Source organism: Homo sapiens, chromosome 5, assembly GCF_000001405.40.
Source record: "Homo sapiens chromosome 5, GRCh38.p14 Primary Assembly".
Classification (NCBI taxonomy): Eukaryota; Metazoa; Chordata; class Mammalia; order Primates; family Hominidae; genus Homo; species Homo sapiens.
Window position 1 is genome coordinate 33,506,957 of NC_000005.10, and position 16,191 is coordinate 33,523,147.

At 44.8% G+C, this 16,191-nt stretch overlaps 1 long non-coding RNA gene across 1 annotated transcript; it reads right to left on the reverse strand.

Annotated features, from left to right (window-relative positions):
* Positions 1 to 9,062: 9,062 nt before the first annotated feature.
* LOC105374717 (uncharacterized) lies at positions 9,063 to 15,604 on the reverse strand. Its single transcript, XR_925906.2, has 3 exons — positions 15,471 to 15,604; positions 10,072 to 10,358; positions 9,063 to 9,124 (listed from the first exon to the last, which is right to left on the reverse strand). It is a non-coding gene; the product is annotated as an uncharacterized LOC105374717 (long non-coding RNA).
* Between the last annotated feature and the right edge of the window lie 587 nt (positions 15,605 to 16,191).

A 16,191-nucleotide genomic window follows, 5' to 3' on the forward strand; every position in this document is an offset into this window, starting at 1 on the left:
CTCCCATTTTTAAAACCATCAGATCTCGTGAGAACTTATTCACTATCACAAGAACAGCATGGGAAAGACCTCCCCCCATGATTCAATTACCTCCCACCAGGTTTCTCCCAAGACATGTGGGAATTGTGGGAGCTACAATTCAAGATGAGATTTGAGTGGGGGCACAGACAAACCATATCACTTGTCAACAATCTCACTTTTATTTGAAGCATAGAAAAGTGTCTCGTTAAATATGAGAAATGAGAGGAAACGTATAGAAGTACCCGGTCATCTTTAGGAAAAAAGGACTGTCTCAGAGATCCATGGAAAGGACTATTTCAGGTACTCTGAGTCATAGGCTTCTAGGGCACAAGCTTCTGATGGCATTTCTTGTTTGTTTGTTTTTTAGACAGAGTCTCACTATGTTGCCCAGGCCGGAGTGCAGTGGTGCAATCACATCTCACACTGCAGCCTTGACATCCTGGGCTTAAACAATCCTTCCACTTCGGCCTCCCAAGTAGTGAGGACCACAGGGGTGTGCTACCATTCTTGGCTAGTTATCTAATTTTTTGTAGATACTGGGTCTCACTATGTTGCCCAGGCTGGTCTTGAACTCTTGGGCTCAAGCAGTCATCCCTCCTTGACCTCCCAAAGTGTTGGGATTATAGGCGTGAGTCACTGGGCCCAGGCTGACGGCATTTCTTAATTATTTTTGAGACCATACCACTGTACTGAGTCAAGATTTCTAGAACTCTAGTGGAGAAGCCAATGGGTTAATAATATTGCTAACCCAAGATTGAACAGAATAAGAAGTGATTATATGTGACTGAATGGATTATAGTTCTATGAACGAATTACATAGGGCTGATAAAAAATGATTATGGATTTTGTTTGGAATCTTGTGGATACTGTTCTATGTTTTGATTATAAGGACCCTCCTTCTCTCTTCTTCTACATTATTTGTAATGCATAACAATTTAGTAGATTATACTTTTGTAAACAGAACTGAAACAATTATATTTTTTCCTTGGCTTGATTCTTCCAGAATTTGCAAATTCTTATATTTTTATTTCATGACAACATAATTTTTCTGCATAGATTCAATGAGTCTGACCCCTTTGTTAACAGGAAATAATTAGAAACATTGGTTATATAAACCAAAGCTTTGACTGAAGTGTCATATTTGAGAATGATGATCATAGAAACATAGAATCAACTGTTAGTAGCTAAGGCTGATTTTATGTAGCTAATGCCTACAAAACTCTCTTGGGAAAACCCAGCCTGGTACTTGGCTTACAGAGTTCCCAGCCTTATAGGTGAGTAAGGAAGGTCACATCCTGGCAGGCCCAGGAACTTTACAATATTTTGGAAACCTTGAGAAGACAGGAGTTCATCCAAATCTAAAGCTACTGCAGGTAAAGTCTGGTAGTGAGTTCTTGGCATGGCTTCCTAGCCTTGACGTGCTTTTAGAAGTCTAATCTCAGATTCCTTATGAAAAACTTCAGTAAAGCAAACTAAAAAAGGTCTATTATGGTATAAATTACCTTTCTTGCTGTATTTATGTAAACGATCAGGCCAAATCTAATGATATCGGCCCTATTTTATAATCAAGAACATTTTTTCTTTGGGATTATCTTTGATCATAAAAGGGTAACTGTTGAGAAAAATTTTGTTTTTCATAGAAAATTATAGCACACTATTGTGGATTATCAGATTCTGATCATATTCATAGTTTTTGAGCTATATAACATCTCTTTGTTAATTGTAGGTAACTAATGAATATGAAAAAAATCTCCAAAATATGTTAACATGTTACTTACCTGTAAATTGAACTGAATCCTGTCATCTTCCATTCATTGCCAACTGTTACCAAATTTCCAATTCTTCAATTTTTTTTAAAACTATCTAGCCACAACCCTCTACTTCCTGATGTGGCATCACTGAGAATTAAATCCTAACTGCTCAGATCCTTATTGGAACCCTAGGTTGCTTTGTAGCTGGCCTTCCCACCCCTCTCCCGCCAAGGATCTGAAAAAGTATTGAGAGTTAAAGCCCAATGATTTGATATGTACTTCAAAAGTCTCATCACTACAGCAGTCCATGCATAGGCTGGATCTCTCCCTGGACCAGCCACTATCTGGACCACTAAGGAAGTCTGGCAAAATACTCAGGTCATGCTCATGCATGCCCTTATTGATAGGACACTCTGAGTATGAAAAACATCACCAGAGTCTCTAAACCTTTGCTTCAAGGAACTCAATCAGCAGCCTCTGGTAACCACTATTCCACTCTATTTCTGTAAGTTTGAATGTTTTAGATTCCACATGCTGTGAGATCATACAGTATCTGTGCCTGGGCTTATTTCACTTAATGTAATGTCCTCTATGTTTATCCATGTTGTCACAAATGACGGAATTTCTTGCTTTTTTTGGTTGTTGTTCGTTTCTTTTTTTAAAGGCTGAATAGTACCGTATTCTATTGTATGTATGTATACCACCTTTTAAAAATCTATTCATTCAGGCTGGGCGCGGTGACTCAAGCCTGTAATCCCAGCACTTTGGGAGGCCGAGGTGGGCGGATCACGAGGTCAGGAGATCGAGACCATCCTGGCTAACACAGTGAAACCCCATCTCTACTAAAAATACAAAAAAAAAAATTAGCCAGGCGTGGTGGTGGGCGCCTATAGTCCCAGCTCCTCGGGAGGCTGAGGCAGGAGAATGGCGTGAACCTGGGAGGCGGAGCTTGCAGTGAGCCGAGATCGCGCCACTGCCCTCCAGCCCGGGCGACAGAGCGAGACTCCATCTCAAAAAATAAAAAAATAAAAATGTATTCATTCATTGATGAATGCTTAGGTTGCTTCCACATCTTGGCTAGTGTGAATAATGTTGCAATAAATGTAGAAGTGCAGATATCTATTCCACATACTAATTTTAGTTCCTTTGGGTATATACCTAGTAGTGGGATTGCTGGATCATATGGTAATTCTATTTTTAGGTTTTTGAAGAACCTCCATACTGTCTTCCAAAAAGGTTGTACTAATTTATAATACCACCAACAGTGTATAAAGATTGCCTGTTCTCAAAAACCTCACCAACACTTGTTATCTTACATCTTTTTGATGATAGCCTATCTAACATGTATAAGGTGATATAGCTCATTGTGGCTTTAATTTGCACTTCTCTTATTGTTACAGATGTTGAGCATTTAAAATATGTATCTATTGGCCATCTGTACATCTTCTTTTGATGTCTATTCAAGTCATTTGCCCATTTGTAAGTAAGATTGTTTTCTTGTTATTGAATAGTTTGATTTCCCTTGTGTATTTTGGATATTAATTAGCCCCTTATGAATGATTTACAAATATTTTCTCCCAGTCTGGGGCTTGTCTCTTCACGCTATTAATTGTTTCCTTTGTTGTACGGAAGCTTTTTAGTTTGACACAATCCCATTTGTCTATTTTTGCTTTTGTTGTCTGTGCTCTTGGGGTCATATCCAAAAAATCACTGCCCAGACCATGTCATGGAGCTTTTTCTATGTTTTCTTCCAGTAATTTTATAGTTTTAGGTCTTATGTTTACATCTTATTTCATTTTGAATTGGTTCTTGTATGAGGGGTGAGATAAAGGTACATTTTTATCCTTTTGTATGTGAATATCCAGTTTTCTCATTTATTGAAGGGACCATCCTTCCCCCATTGTGTGTTCTTGGCATCTTTGTAAAAAATCAGTCCACCATATGTTTATTTCTGGGCACTCATATTCTATTGGTTAATGTGTCTTTTTAAAAATTTACTTTTATTTTTCCGGCTTATTTCTGCAAGAAAGAAGCCCTAAGGCTTTAGGTTGGTCTGCATATTCCCTTCAGGACCACTGCACCTACACTTTGTACCAAGGCTGACCATCTTAGGAAGGCTTCAGGTTTAGACTTCGGCTGTTTACTTCAAATGCAGTTAGGTGTGTGTGTGTGTGTGTGTGTGTGTGTGTGCGCGCGTCTACCTATTCATATAAACATTCAAATTTTGATAACTTTGACAATTCTTCATTTTTAAATATGCTGGAATCCTCTAAAAATAGAAATGGCCTAGAACTCTTCAAGACCTCTGAGAGACCCTGGGTCCATTCTGCTGACCAGGCCAAGCAATTGAGAGAGTAGAAGACTGCTCTGTGACCCTTGGACCATCTGTATCTGCATCACCTGAAAATTCTGGGGCCTACACCAGACCTACTAAATCCTCCTGAATCACTGGAATTGGGGCCAAACAGCTCACATTTTAAAAAAGTTCTTCCATGTAACTTGTGTAAACTCAAGTTTGAGAGCACAGGGCTGGGGAGTTAGATGGGTCATTAGACACTGAATTTCTCAAAAAAAGAGTAGAACTGGCAATGGGAAGTGAGAATGAATACACAAATAGACAATGGCCAGACCATAGAACTTTGACCCACGACCTACAGCAACTTTCCCAGGAAGCCTATCCCCTTACCTACAATAGACAACCCAGGAAGCCAGCCTGCTGTAAGTCAGTATTGCAAGAAGCCAGGTTGCTGTCTTTATTTTTTGAGACAGGGTCTCACTCTGTTGCCCAGACTGGGGTGCAATGGTACAATCAGTTCACTGCAACCTCCACTTCCCTGGCTCAAGTGATCCTCCCACCTCAGCCTTCTGAGTAGCTGGGACCACAGACACACACAACCATACCCAGTTAATTCATTTTTACTTTTTTGTAGAGATGGGGTTTCACCATGTTACCCAGGCTGGCCTTGAATGCCTGGACCCAAGTGATCCACCTGTCTTGGCCTCCCAAAGTGGTGGGATTACAGGTGTGAGCCACCGTGCCCAGCCTAGATTGCTATATTTTAGTGACAATCCAGGAAGCTAAACAACTCCTGTAGCAATCAGCCCCAAATGATCAGGACTTGATTAATAACTGAAAGCCTCCCAAATTTTTGTCCCGATTTGTAATTTAGGACCAACCAGAGAAAGCCAAATATGCACCTTAATCAATGACATAGGATGACTGCTTCTCGTTAGCCTCCTACAGCTTCCCAAGCCAAAAGCTTCCCATCAGGGCACACCTGAAGCCTTCCCTTTTGTCCACTATAAGGTTTTCCCACTTCTCTATCTGTCCTTGAGTCTCTGCCAAAGGACACTGACAGTGGCTGCCTCCCTTGCTATAGTAAGTTCAGAATAAATATACTTTATTTTTCTCATTCGGTTGGTCTTTATTTCCAGAAGGAAGACTGAAGCAGGAGCAAAAGGCCTTGATAAATATGGAGGAGGGATGAAAGATGACAGAGACGAGGAGTGGAAGAGGGATATTAGGTGGATGGTATGACTCTCAAGGACACAATCTCTCCTGTGGGTGGCTGAGTGGCAGTGGATGTATCTTGGGCCCACCATCTTTGCCAGGCCCTTTCCTATACTCTGTTTTAGCTCCCTAGCCACACTGAGAGGTTCTGAGGTAGGCCAAATATTGTTAACACTGTCGTACTGATGTGGAAAGAGATAACAGATATGCTGTCTCTTGGCACCTGGTCCTGAAATCCTTCTGGGCATTCAATTCCCGGTAATCCCTATATGGGAACAGCAGAAGCAAAGTCCCAAATGGTTCTGCTGTTACTTCGGTCCCCAGATGTATACGTCATGCTTGATAACTTGATAAGGAGTTACTGAGTTTGGCTTCCTAGAGTGAAATGTGGGAACTTTTTGTGAAATCCCAACAGTTTATTAATGATTCAGAGTGATAATTAGCTTCTTTGTCTGAGTGCAGAGAAAAGATAATTGGTACATTTGATCTTTATTTTTTTTTTTTGAGATGGAGTCTTGCTGTGTTGCCCAGGCTGGAGTGCAGTGGTACGATCTCAGCTCACTGCAACCTCCGCCTCCTGGGTTAAAGCAATTCTCTTTCCTCAGCCTCCCAAGTGGCTGGGACTACAGGTGTGTGCAATCATGCCTGGCTAATTTTTATTTTCATTTTAGTAGAGACAAGATGGGTTTTGTAAGGTTGGCCAGGCAGGTCTCGAAATCCTGACATCAAGAGATCCACCCACCTCAGCCTCCCAAAGTGCTGGGATTACAGGCATGAGCCACCGTGCCCAGCCTGATAATTGATGCATTTGAAATAGGCCCTGCCCATATAGCCCCTCTGCCCATGTCTTTTGCTTCTCGGTCCTCTGTGAATCACATTCCTGTCATTAGGCAGGAGTGGAGGCTGATGGGCCAGAAGTGGGGTGGAAGCACACCTCAGAATTTGCGCTCAAGAAACATTGGTTCTAATTTGTTGATCCCATTCTGGCCAGTCAGTCATGACTTAACAGCTTGCCTTCCTGAGTGGCCCTCTGAAACCTGGGCTTCAGGGCTGGAGCATGCCAACAACTTTCCCAGCCGTTCATCTATCCTATTGCTCAAGATAAGCCTGGACCCTACTTGGCCACAAGGTTCTTTTCCCACAAGCATCTCTGCTCATAGTTGGAAATTCTCGTGAACTACACTGGAGCGTGCAGTATTGCTTCTAGGCCTGGCAACAGGAGCCCCTGCCCCAAGCCTGGCTTTCTACGGGCCAGTACTCCAAAAGGCTCAAATACAAATACTTCTGTCCTTGTGGCTTGGTAACAAAGTCTTTTGAGTTTTGTAACAGACTGAGTAAGAATTATCAAAATACAATACACACATTGGGCGCCCCAGGCCAGAGAAGGGTGTGGGCCTGACAGTCTGTAAGTGCAGGCTGGGGATGCAAAAATCACAGGCTAGGCCCAAGGAAACCAGGAAAAGAGCTGTGCTCTTGCTTATACTTCGCCACCCCATAGCACCCATGGTGAGTGTCTAGGGGCCTGGGTGGACCAGGTCTGCAGATAACTGGCTCCCTCCCCTTTCTCTGCCCATGTGATATTGTTGGAAGGTTTTTAGAATTGTTGCAGGTTATGAGGTGGAAAAGTGAGGCATGGGAGCAAGGAACCTACCCCTCCCAGACTCCCTAGGGAGCTTGGCCAGCTCAGTCTCCATCAGGGATTTGGGTTTAGTCACCTTGGAGACCTGGGTCTGTGCCACCAAATTCTCAGGAGGCAGGGCTGGCCCAGTGCTAGCTAATTTAGCCTCTCAGTCACATGGCTGATCCTTGGGGAGATGGCTGTGAGATGCTGGATGAGAACAGAGGCCAGGCCTAGAATGTAGCTTGTTTCATGACTTTCAAACCTTTATACATTTGGTAAGTGGCCCTTCCATTGAACTCTTACCCCAGGCCTCAAGATCCTAAGGAGCAGACCTGGAGCAAGCAACTTTCAGGTCCCAGGATGGGCAGGAGCACACCAACCACCTGCGTGACAGAGAAACCATACACAACTTTGGAGAAGCCCCCGGCACATGGCTTCCTTACTCCCTGAGCTGCAAACAGGCTGGGATTAGCAGAGACGAGAGGAGGATTCAGGTTAGTGCAAGCACAGGGAGGAAGTACCCACCCCAATCCCTTCTGAGATGGCCCAAGCTGTGCCCTCAGTCCCCTGCCACAGTGCATGGACAGGGAAGGATACTGTATCTGTGCACTTCAGCCTCTGATATTTACTCAACTCCTCTCCGTGACCCCAACACACACACCCTACTGTGTCCGGAATTGGTGGATTCTTGGTCTCACTGACTTCAAGAATGAAGCCGCTGACCCTTGCGGTGAGTGTTACAGCTCTTAAGGTGGCGCGTCTGGAGTTTGTTCCTTCTGATGTTCGAATGTGTTCGGAGTTTCTTCCTTCTGGTGGGTTCGTGGTCTCGCTGGCTCGGGAGTGAAGCTGCAGACCTTCGCGGTGAGTGTTACAGCTCTTAAGGCGGCGCGTCTGGAGTTGTTCGTTCCTCCCGGCTCGTGGTCTCGCTGGCTTCAGGAGTGAAGCTGCAGACCTTCGCGGTGAGTGTTACAGCTCATAAAAGCAGTGTGGACCCAAAGGGTGAGCAGTAGAAAGATCTATTGCAAAGAGCAAAAGAACAAAGCTTCCATGGTGTGGAAGGTGACCTGAGCAGGTTGCTGCTACTGGCTCGGGCAGCCTGCTTTTATTCTCTTATCTGGCCCCACCCACGTCCTGCTGATTGGTAGAGCCGAGTGGTCTGTTTTGACAGGGCGCTGATTGGTGCGTTTACAATCCCTGAGCTAAATACAAAGGTTCTCCACTTGCCCATCAGATTAGTTAGATACAGAGTATGGACACAAAGGTTCTCCAAGGCCACACCAGAGCAGCTAGATACAGAGTGTTGATTGGTGCGCTCACAATCCCTGAGCTAGACACAGGGTGCTGATTGGTGTGTTTACAAACCTTGAGCTAGATACAGAGTGCCGATTGGTGTATTTACAATCCCTGAGCTAGACATAAAGGTTCTCCAAGGCCCCACCAGACCCAGGAGCCCAGCTGGCTTCACCCAGTGGATCCCACACAGGGGCTGCAGGTGGAGCTGCCTGCCAGTCCCACGCCATGCGCTCGCACTCCTCAGCCCTTGGGCGGTCGATGGGACTGGGAGCCCTGGAGCAGTGGGCCGCGCTCCTTGAGAGGCTCGGGCTGCATGGGAGCCCATGGAGGCGGGGGAAGGCTCAGGCATGGCGGGCTGCAGTCCCGAGGCCTGCCCTGCGGGAAGGCAGCTAAGGCCCGGCGAGAAATCGAGTGCAGCGCCAGTGGGCTGGCACAGCTGGGGGACCCAGTACACCCTCCGCAGCCGCTGGCCTGGGTGCTAAGTCCTTCATTGCCCGGGGCCGGCAGGGCCGGCCCGCTGCTCCGAGTGTGGGGCCCGCCAAGCCCACGCCCACCCGGAACTCCAGCTGGCCCGCAAGCACCCCACGCAGCCCCGGTTCCCGCTCGCGCCTTTCCCTCCACACCTCCCTGCAAGCTGAGGGAGCCGGCTCTGGCCTTGGCCAGCCCAGAAAGGGGCTCCCACAGTGCAGCGGTGGGCTGAAGGGCTCCTCAAGTGCCGCCAAAGTGGGAGCCCAGGCAGAGGAGGTGCCAAGAGTGAGTGAGGGCTGTGAGGACTGCCAGCACGCTGTCACCTCTCACTACCACATTCTCCACCCCATCGTCTGCTCTCTTGTCCCTGAGCATGACCTGTGTGTTCTTACCTTTTCCTCTCTCCCCTACTCCAGCTCTTTTATGTTTGCTGCTTCCTCCTCCTTCAAGACATCTTTTCTATGAATGGGCGAACAAAAGAAAAAAGATGATTTCCACAAGTTATGAAATTCTTACTATATGCTGGGAGCTATGCTAGACATTGAAATTCTCTGAACATCCCTACCACTCACTTGTTGAGTGAGACCAGGGAGAGTGGAGATTGCAATGTCACAGTAGGTGGTCAGATGGCTGCTCCCACTGGGCCTCAAGAAGTGGCATTTTATGGGGAATGTAACAACCATAGTTCAAGGTCTGACCTTTGTTTTGGCAGCTTTAGAAAATTTTCTCTGATTTAGGAGAATTAACATACACTAACCAAGTTCACAAGAAACTAATATATAAACCAAAATATCAACTTATTCTATTTCTAGGGGTATGATTGAAACCAACTTTGCAAAGATTATGACAGTGAGATAAGTCTAGCATGGTTTATTTCATCTTGCTTCTAGCCTCAGAGGCTGGCGCTCATTCCTGGGCATAGTCCAAGCTAACCATGGGAAAAATTTAGTTTATAGTTTAACTTTGAAGCAAGGATGATAACAGTCCCTCCTTAAAACTGATCCCTTCCTTGCTCCCACCGAAAACTGCCTTTGTAAAAGTAATGAAAGGCCATGAGATTAGGATTATGGGAGAGGCTCAATTCTGCTTACATGCAGGCATAGTTTCTATAATCCCCTACTGCTCAGAACCTCTGGCCAGAGGTCACAAGATTTGTGACTTCCTCAGTTGCTCCTATAGATAACACCACTATTGTAAAACCTAAAATTGGTCTTTCGAGATGTTTTTTTTCAGAATTTTTTTCATTCTGGCAACCAACTGACCCCACCCGGACCCTGGACTCATGACTCAACTAGTCCTGTGGCCCCCACCCAGAGGTTGACTCAGTTCCTGAGGACCATTTTCCACACCCCCAAGATTTTATCCCCAAGCAAGTAGCAGCACCCATTCCCCAGCTCCCTGCTCACCAAATTATCCATAAAACCCTAGTCTCCGAGTTCTTCGAGAGGCTAATTTGAGTGATAATGAAACTCCAGTCCTTCCACTTGGCTGGCTTTGTGTTAATTAAGCTCCTTACGACAATAAGGCTGTCTCAGTGAACGAGTGAACTGGGCTTCCTGAGACCAGGAAAGTCAGTTCCAAATCCCTACAAGGGAGATGCCCAGCTGACCACCTTCACTTTTGATTTTCCTGCTTCCAGTAATCTGATGATTTAGTTTAACAATAATCTTCTTGCTTCCTGAGTTGTGTCTCCCTAAGTAAGGAGAAAAGAAATGTTAGTGTATTTGTTAGCGTGCATCTTCTGATCCTAGTGTATTTGTCAGTGTGCTTCCCTTTCTGAGATTCAGATGTGCATTTCAGTGAGGTGTCTGTCCCCAACCACCAGACAAAGGAGAGTTTACTTAATGTTCTGCTCTTTGGTTGAGCAAAAAGGCCATAAAAGAGCTATTGATCCCCCCAGCAATATATAACTAATTCCTTTTCTAATCCATAAGAGCCAAGGAGAGCTAATTCAATCTCACAATTCATTAGCTCATCTATTGTCTGAGATCTAAAACAGATGCAAGACCATCAGTTGAACACAAATTGCCATTTTGTGCAGCCCCAGCTTCAAGCTGGTCCCTTGTGGCTCCCACCATTGAAACCCATTTGCAATTATTTCCATGGAGTTGAGGAAACGTGTTCCTGCTTATTAGCTAATCAGCACCACCACAGTCTACCATTCTAATTTCTCCTCACAAGGGTCTTCCTTTCCTGTGGATTCTCCCATGTTGTTAGGGTTGAGCAGTTTCTCTCTTCCTGAAGACAGTCACCAGGGTACAGCTGATGCACAGTCAGGCCCAAGCTTGTGACCAAGGCAATGATGATGACCTGGGGCCATATGGAATTGAGTAGCTTGGCCATGGATGCACAGGTCTGGGTGAGGCAAAACTGGAAGAGGTTCGAGAAAAGAAGGCAACTAGGAGACAGAATAGTTAGGAGAGAGAAGAATTCCCTTTCCCTGGAAGACTCCCTAAAATCAGACTGCAGAGATGCACCATGAACAGAATGAGGGGAGCAGGGATGATAACTTTCAGGCCAGCTTCTTGGGATGTGAAAGAATGGAGGGCACCCAAACCTGGGCTCACTGTCCCCAAATACTTTTACACTGTGGGTAGACAATACTTCATTCCCTGAATTCCAGAGCACCATAGTTCCTGTTCCTGTGAGTATTGATAGTCTGTGTTTATTAATATTTGGGGATAAGGGTGTATTTTAAGGTTGCCTGGCATATAGGAGGGAGTTAGGGCAAAGGAGACCCCCACATACCTTAGATACAGATCTATAAGGCATCAAATTAAGACAACTCAAGACAGGAAGGATTCAGAGTCAAAACCACACAACCCGACAGGATGGAGGCTACAGGTGTGCCCAAGATACTGAACTCCTCAGTGCTCAGGGTGGTCAGGCCTGGTCACATCTGGCTGCTAGTGGTTCACAGTTACTGCAATGGGCTAGGCAAATATGATCATCTTTCTGTGTGCCATATGTAAAGAGCTTGGGAAGTGCTGTTTTAACCAATCTTTCTCTTCAATGACAAGGGTAAGGCAAAGTGACATAAGCCCAAGAAAGCAGAATCCAGTTCTGCAATGTGAGGCATTAAATGGGATTGAGAGACTCCCAAAGGGACTCAGAGGTCAGGCAGAGAATCTGGGAGACTGAGAGGTCAGAACTCAGTGAGTGGCCTGAGAAGTGGGCATGAGTGACCCGTAAGAAGAATGGATCTTCACCAAGTGTTCAAGGCTGCAGTGAACTATGATTGCACCACTGCACTTCAGCCTGGGCAACAGAGCGAGACCCTGCTCCCCACTCCCCACCTCCCAAAAAAAGAAGAGTGGAGCTTGATACTGACCCATCTGTACTCACTTCTGTGACACCACACTACCACCCTGGGCTGTGGCCTGACCAAGACCAGACTGAAAGAGTGGGTAGATTCTGTTTCATGGGAGAATCAGGTAGGCACACTAGGTTCAAATGGGAAATGCCAGATTTGGTAGCAACGCAGCACAATAAGGGCCATTGTTCTCCATATTTCTCTTCTACGATAATGTCAGATGCTGACATTATATGATATGGTTTAGCTGTGTCCCCACCCAAATCTCATCTTGAATTGTAGTTCCCATAATCCCCATGTGTCATGAGAGGGACTCAGTGGGAGGTGGGAGGTGGGTTTTTCCCATGCTGTTATTTTGACAGTGAATAAGTCTCATGAAATCTTGATGGTTTTATAAAGGGCAGTTCCCCTGCACAATCTCTCTTGCCTGCTGCCATGTAAGATGTGCCTTTGCTCCTCCTTCGCTTTCCACCATGACTGTGAAGCCTCCCCAGCCATGAAGAACTGTGAGTCCATTAAACCTCTTTTTCTTTATAATTACTCAGTCTCAGGTATATCTTTATTAGCATCATGAGAACAGACCCATACACTTCCCTTGTACTCATCATATTCAGTGTCCTTTCATTTCCCAACATCCACCCAGTTATCTTACTTCCCCAAAGCAAAGCCTGAGACAAGGACTTGGATGCAAGTAGTTTATTTAGGAGGTGATCTTAGGAAATAAAAGCAAGAGAATAGGAAGGGTGAGACGGGAAGAAGAAAGGCAAATCTGGCAGTGTGTTATAGAGCTTGCTGCTGTGGGCAACTGGGGCTCAACAATGCTGGGACCTCATACAAAGCATGCAGAATCCTCCCAGATTGGTGCATCTGAAGCATGGGAGGCCCAGTGGTCTTAACTCCTTTGCACTTCAGAGCTGTGCATAGGTGAGGGTGCTCTGGAACAGAGGGCAGATAGATGCATGGCATGTGCTTGAGGCAAGGGGACTTTGAGCACATACAGAACTTAAATGGGCCTTCGGGAATGTGACATGGGCACCAGAGGTGTCTGCTTCTTCAATTGAAGAGGCTAGGTTAGAGCCGTGGTTCTCCAAGTGTAATTCTTCAGAATAGCTGCATCAATATCACCTGGGAACTTATTAGAAATGCAGATTCTTGGTTCTGAATCAGAAATTCTGGGGGTGAAGCCTAAGAATGTCCCATACACCCCTCCAAGTCAGCCATCACCCCCACCCAACCCCTAGAGGCAACCACTGTTCTTAATTTTTTCCACTGTAGACTGATTTTGCCTCTTTTCAATTAAAAAAAAAAAGAATTATATAGTAGGTACTCTTTTGGGTAAAGCTTCTTGCACTCAGCATAAAGTTTTGAGATTTTTTTTCATATTGCTGTATCAATAGTTTATTCCTTTTTATTGCTGAGTAATATTCCACTGAATAAATATATCAATTTGTTTATTCATTTGTCTGTTGATGGATGCCAGATATGTTTCCAGTTTTTGATGATTTTGAATAAAGCTGTAATGAACATTCTTGTACAGGCTTTTTGGACAGGTACCATACTTCTTGCAGGCTAATAATAATATAACACATTATGACTGCCTCACCTCTAAACCCCATGGTTATATAACGCTGTATTCTGTGGAAATGACTCTAACCCAATGGCTCTCAAATTTTAGTGTGCACATCACAGCCTTCTTGTGTTTCAAAACACCAGACAGCATTGTAGCCCTGCAGTTGAGGGCCATTTGAAATAGAAAAAACACCAAAACAAACATGCAAAAGACATGGCACTAAACAGGCCTTGAAAAGGAAGGCAAAAGGCTGGGCATGGTATCTTATGCCTATAAACTCAGCACTTTGGGAGGCCGAGGCAGGCAGATCACCTGAGGTCAAGAGTTCGAGACCAGCCTGGCCAACACAGTGGAACCCCGTCTCTACTAAAAATACAAAAATTAGCTGGGCATGGTGGCTTGTGCCTGTAGTCCCAGTTACTCAGGAGGCTGAGGCAGGAGAATTGCTTGAACCCGGGAGGTGCAGGTTGCAGTGAGCCGAGATTGTGCCACAGCACACCAGCCTGGGTGACAGAGCGAGACTGTCACAAAAAAAAAAAAGAAAAAGAAAAAAAGGAAAGTATCTCATCGTTGGAACATATGTATAAGGATGACTGGAATTTTTCAGTACTCTGTGCATGTCTGCAAAAGTGTTGCCACAAACAAATTTTATCAAGTAGGTACATTTGCAAATATGGAACTGCAAATAATGAGGATCTATTCTATTTAGAACTTGAAATTTGATACTTCTTTCTTTTTTGAGACAGGGTGTTGCTCTGTTGCCCAGGCTGGAGAGCAGTAGCCTGATCATAGCTTACTACAGCCTCTAACACTTAGGCTCAAGCAATCCTCCTGCCTCAGCCTCCCAAGTAGCTAGGACTACAAGGATGCAACACCACATCCAGGTAATAAAATATATATATATATATATATATATATATATATATATATATATATATATATATATTTGTAGAGACAAGGTCTCACTATGTTACCTATGCTGGTTTCAAACTGGCCTCAAGTGATCCTCCCACCTTGGCCTCCCAAAGTGCTGGGATTCCTGGTGGACACTACCACACCCAGCTAATTAATTTTTTTTTTTTTTCAGAGATGGGGTCTCACCATGTTGCCAAGGCTGGTCCTGAAATCCTGGTCTGGAGTGATCCTCCCACCTCGGCCTTCAAGTGCTGGGATTATAGGCATGAGTCACTGTGTTCAGCCCATGTGGTAGTTTTTAATCAATGTTTCCTCTACCCGCTTTTTCCTTCACGCTAATCTTACCTCTTTCCCATAGGGGCATGAATCCTCCACTTCCAGAGTGGATAGTATTGAGATATCCCTTTGGGGTCTTTATGATAACCCTTTTACATGCTCCTCCCAGGGCAGGAGAGGGTGCTTCTGTTGGTGAAAGTTTGATGGCCATGAGACTCCTATTAACTGAGGTTAATAGGTTGAGTGGTCCATTTCTCTCTGTTTCTTTCTACTGCATTCCCATCTCTCTTGAGCTTGAAGCCTGGAGTTCAGAGAACCACTGGAGGGAGGCCTGCAGATCTCCAGCTACTTGCCATGGGGGGATGCAGATGTGAAGGGTAGGAAAACCCTTTTTCCATTTGCACCCAAGACATGCTCTCCAAGCCAGCTTCACCACTACTGAAGCCGATATTTTGATCTGGCTGATTATGTGTATTCTCAGTTTGATTAGAAATCTCAATTAGAGGAGGATGATTAATCCAAACTAACACACCAGTTTTCCATTTTGCTTGCTTTTGATTTATTGCCTCAGTTCTAGGATCGAAACACCTTTGTCCCCAGGGGCTGGTTTAAGACTCTTTTGAGCTGTGCTCATTATCCTGTATCCCCTTCAACATCAAGATTCTTTAATCAAGCTGGTGTGCTTTGAACCCTGATGTATTTTTTAGTCCTTTTGAGGTTTTCTGACCTACCTCATCAGTCCTTTCGAGAAGTCTGAATTTTAGTGAAAGCTTGGTTTTACTCAACCAAGATCCCCTGCTACTCACTACAAGGTGATAATTGTTTTAGTGCAGGGTTTTTCAACTTTGGAACTATTGACATTATGAGCCAGACAATTCTTTGTTGTTGAGGGAATGTCGTCCCACAGAATGTTCAGCAACATTCTGGGCCTCTGTTCACTAGATGCCAGTAGCACTCCCTCCCTCCCCCACTGCCCAGTTGTGAAAATCAAAAATGTCTCCAGACATTGTCAAAGATCCCCTGCGGAACAAAAATCACTCTCAATTAAGAGCTACTTTTCTAGTGGAAAATGTACCCAGTATAGTGGGAGCAGAGTATAACGGAAAATGGACCCTGTCTTTCTGGCAGCGTCAGGGTAGGTGTCCCAGGGGAAGTAGCATTTGAGCTGGGCTTTGCAGTATTAGAAAGATCTCATAGTCACAGATAGAATAATTTGTAAGGTATAATCAGGGAGGTATCCATGGCTCTCTGTGATGCCTTCTTGACCAAAACTACATTTCCTACTATTCCTATTCATGCCCTCAAACATCCTAGGGATCACCTGGAGAGGCCTGGCTCTTCCCTACCTCTATGGTTTTGTTTATTCCATGTGAGTAGACTCTATCACTATATGTACAAATTCTGCTTTTGCTAGTTGCATTTACTGAGCTGTACACCCATCTTTGAATAAGG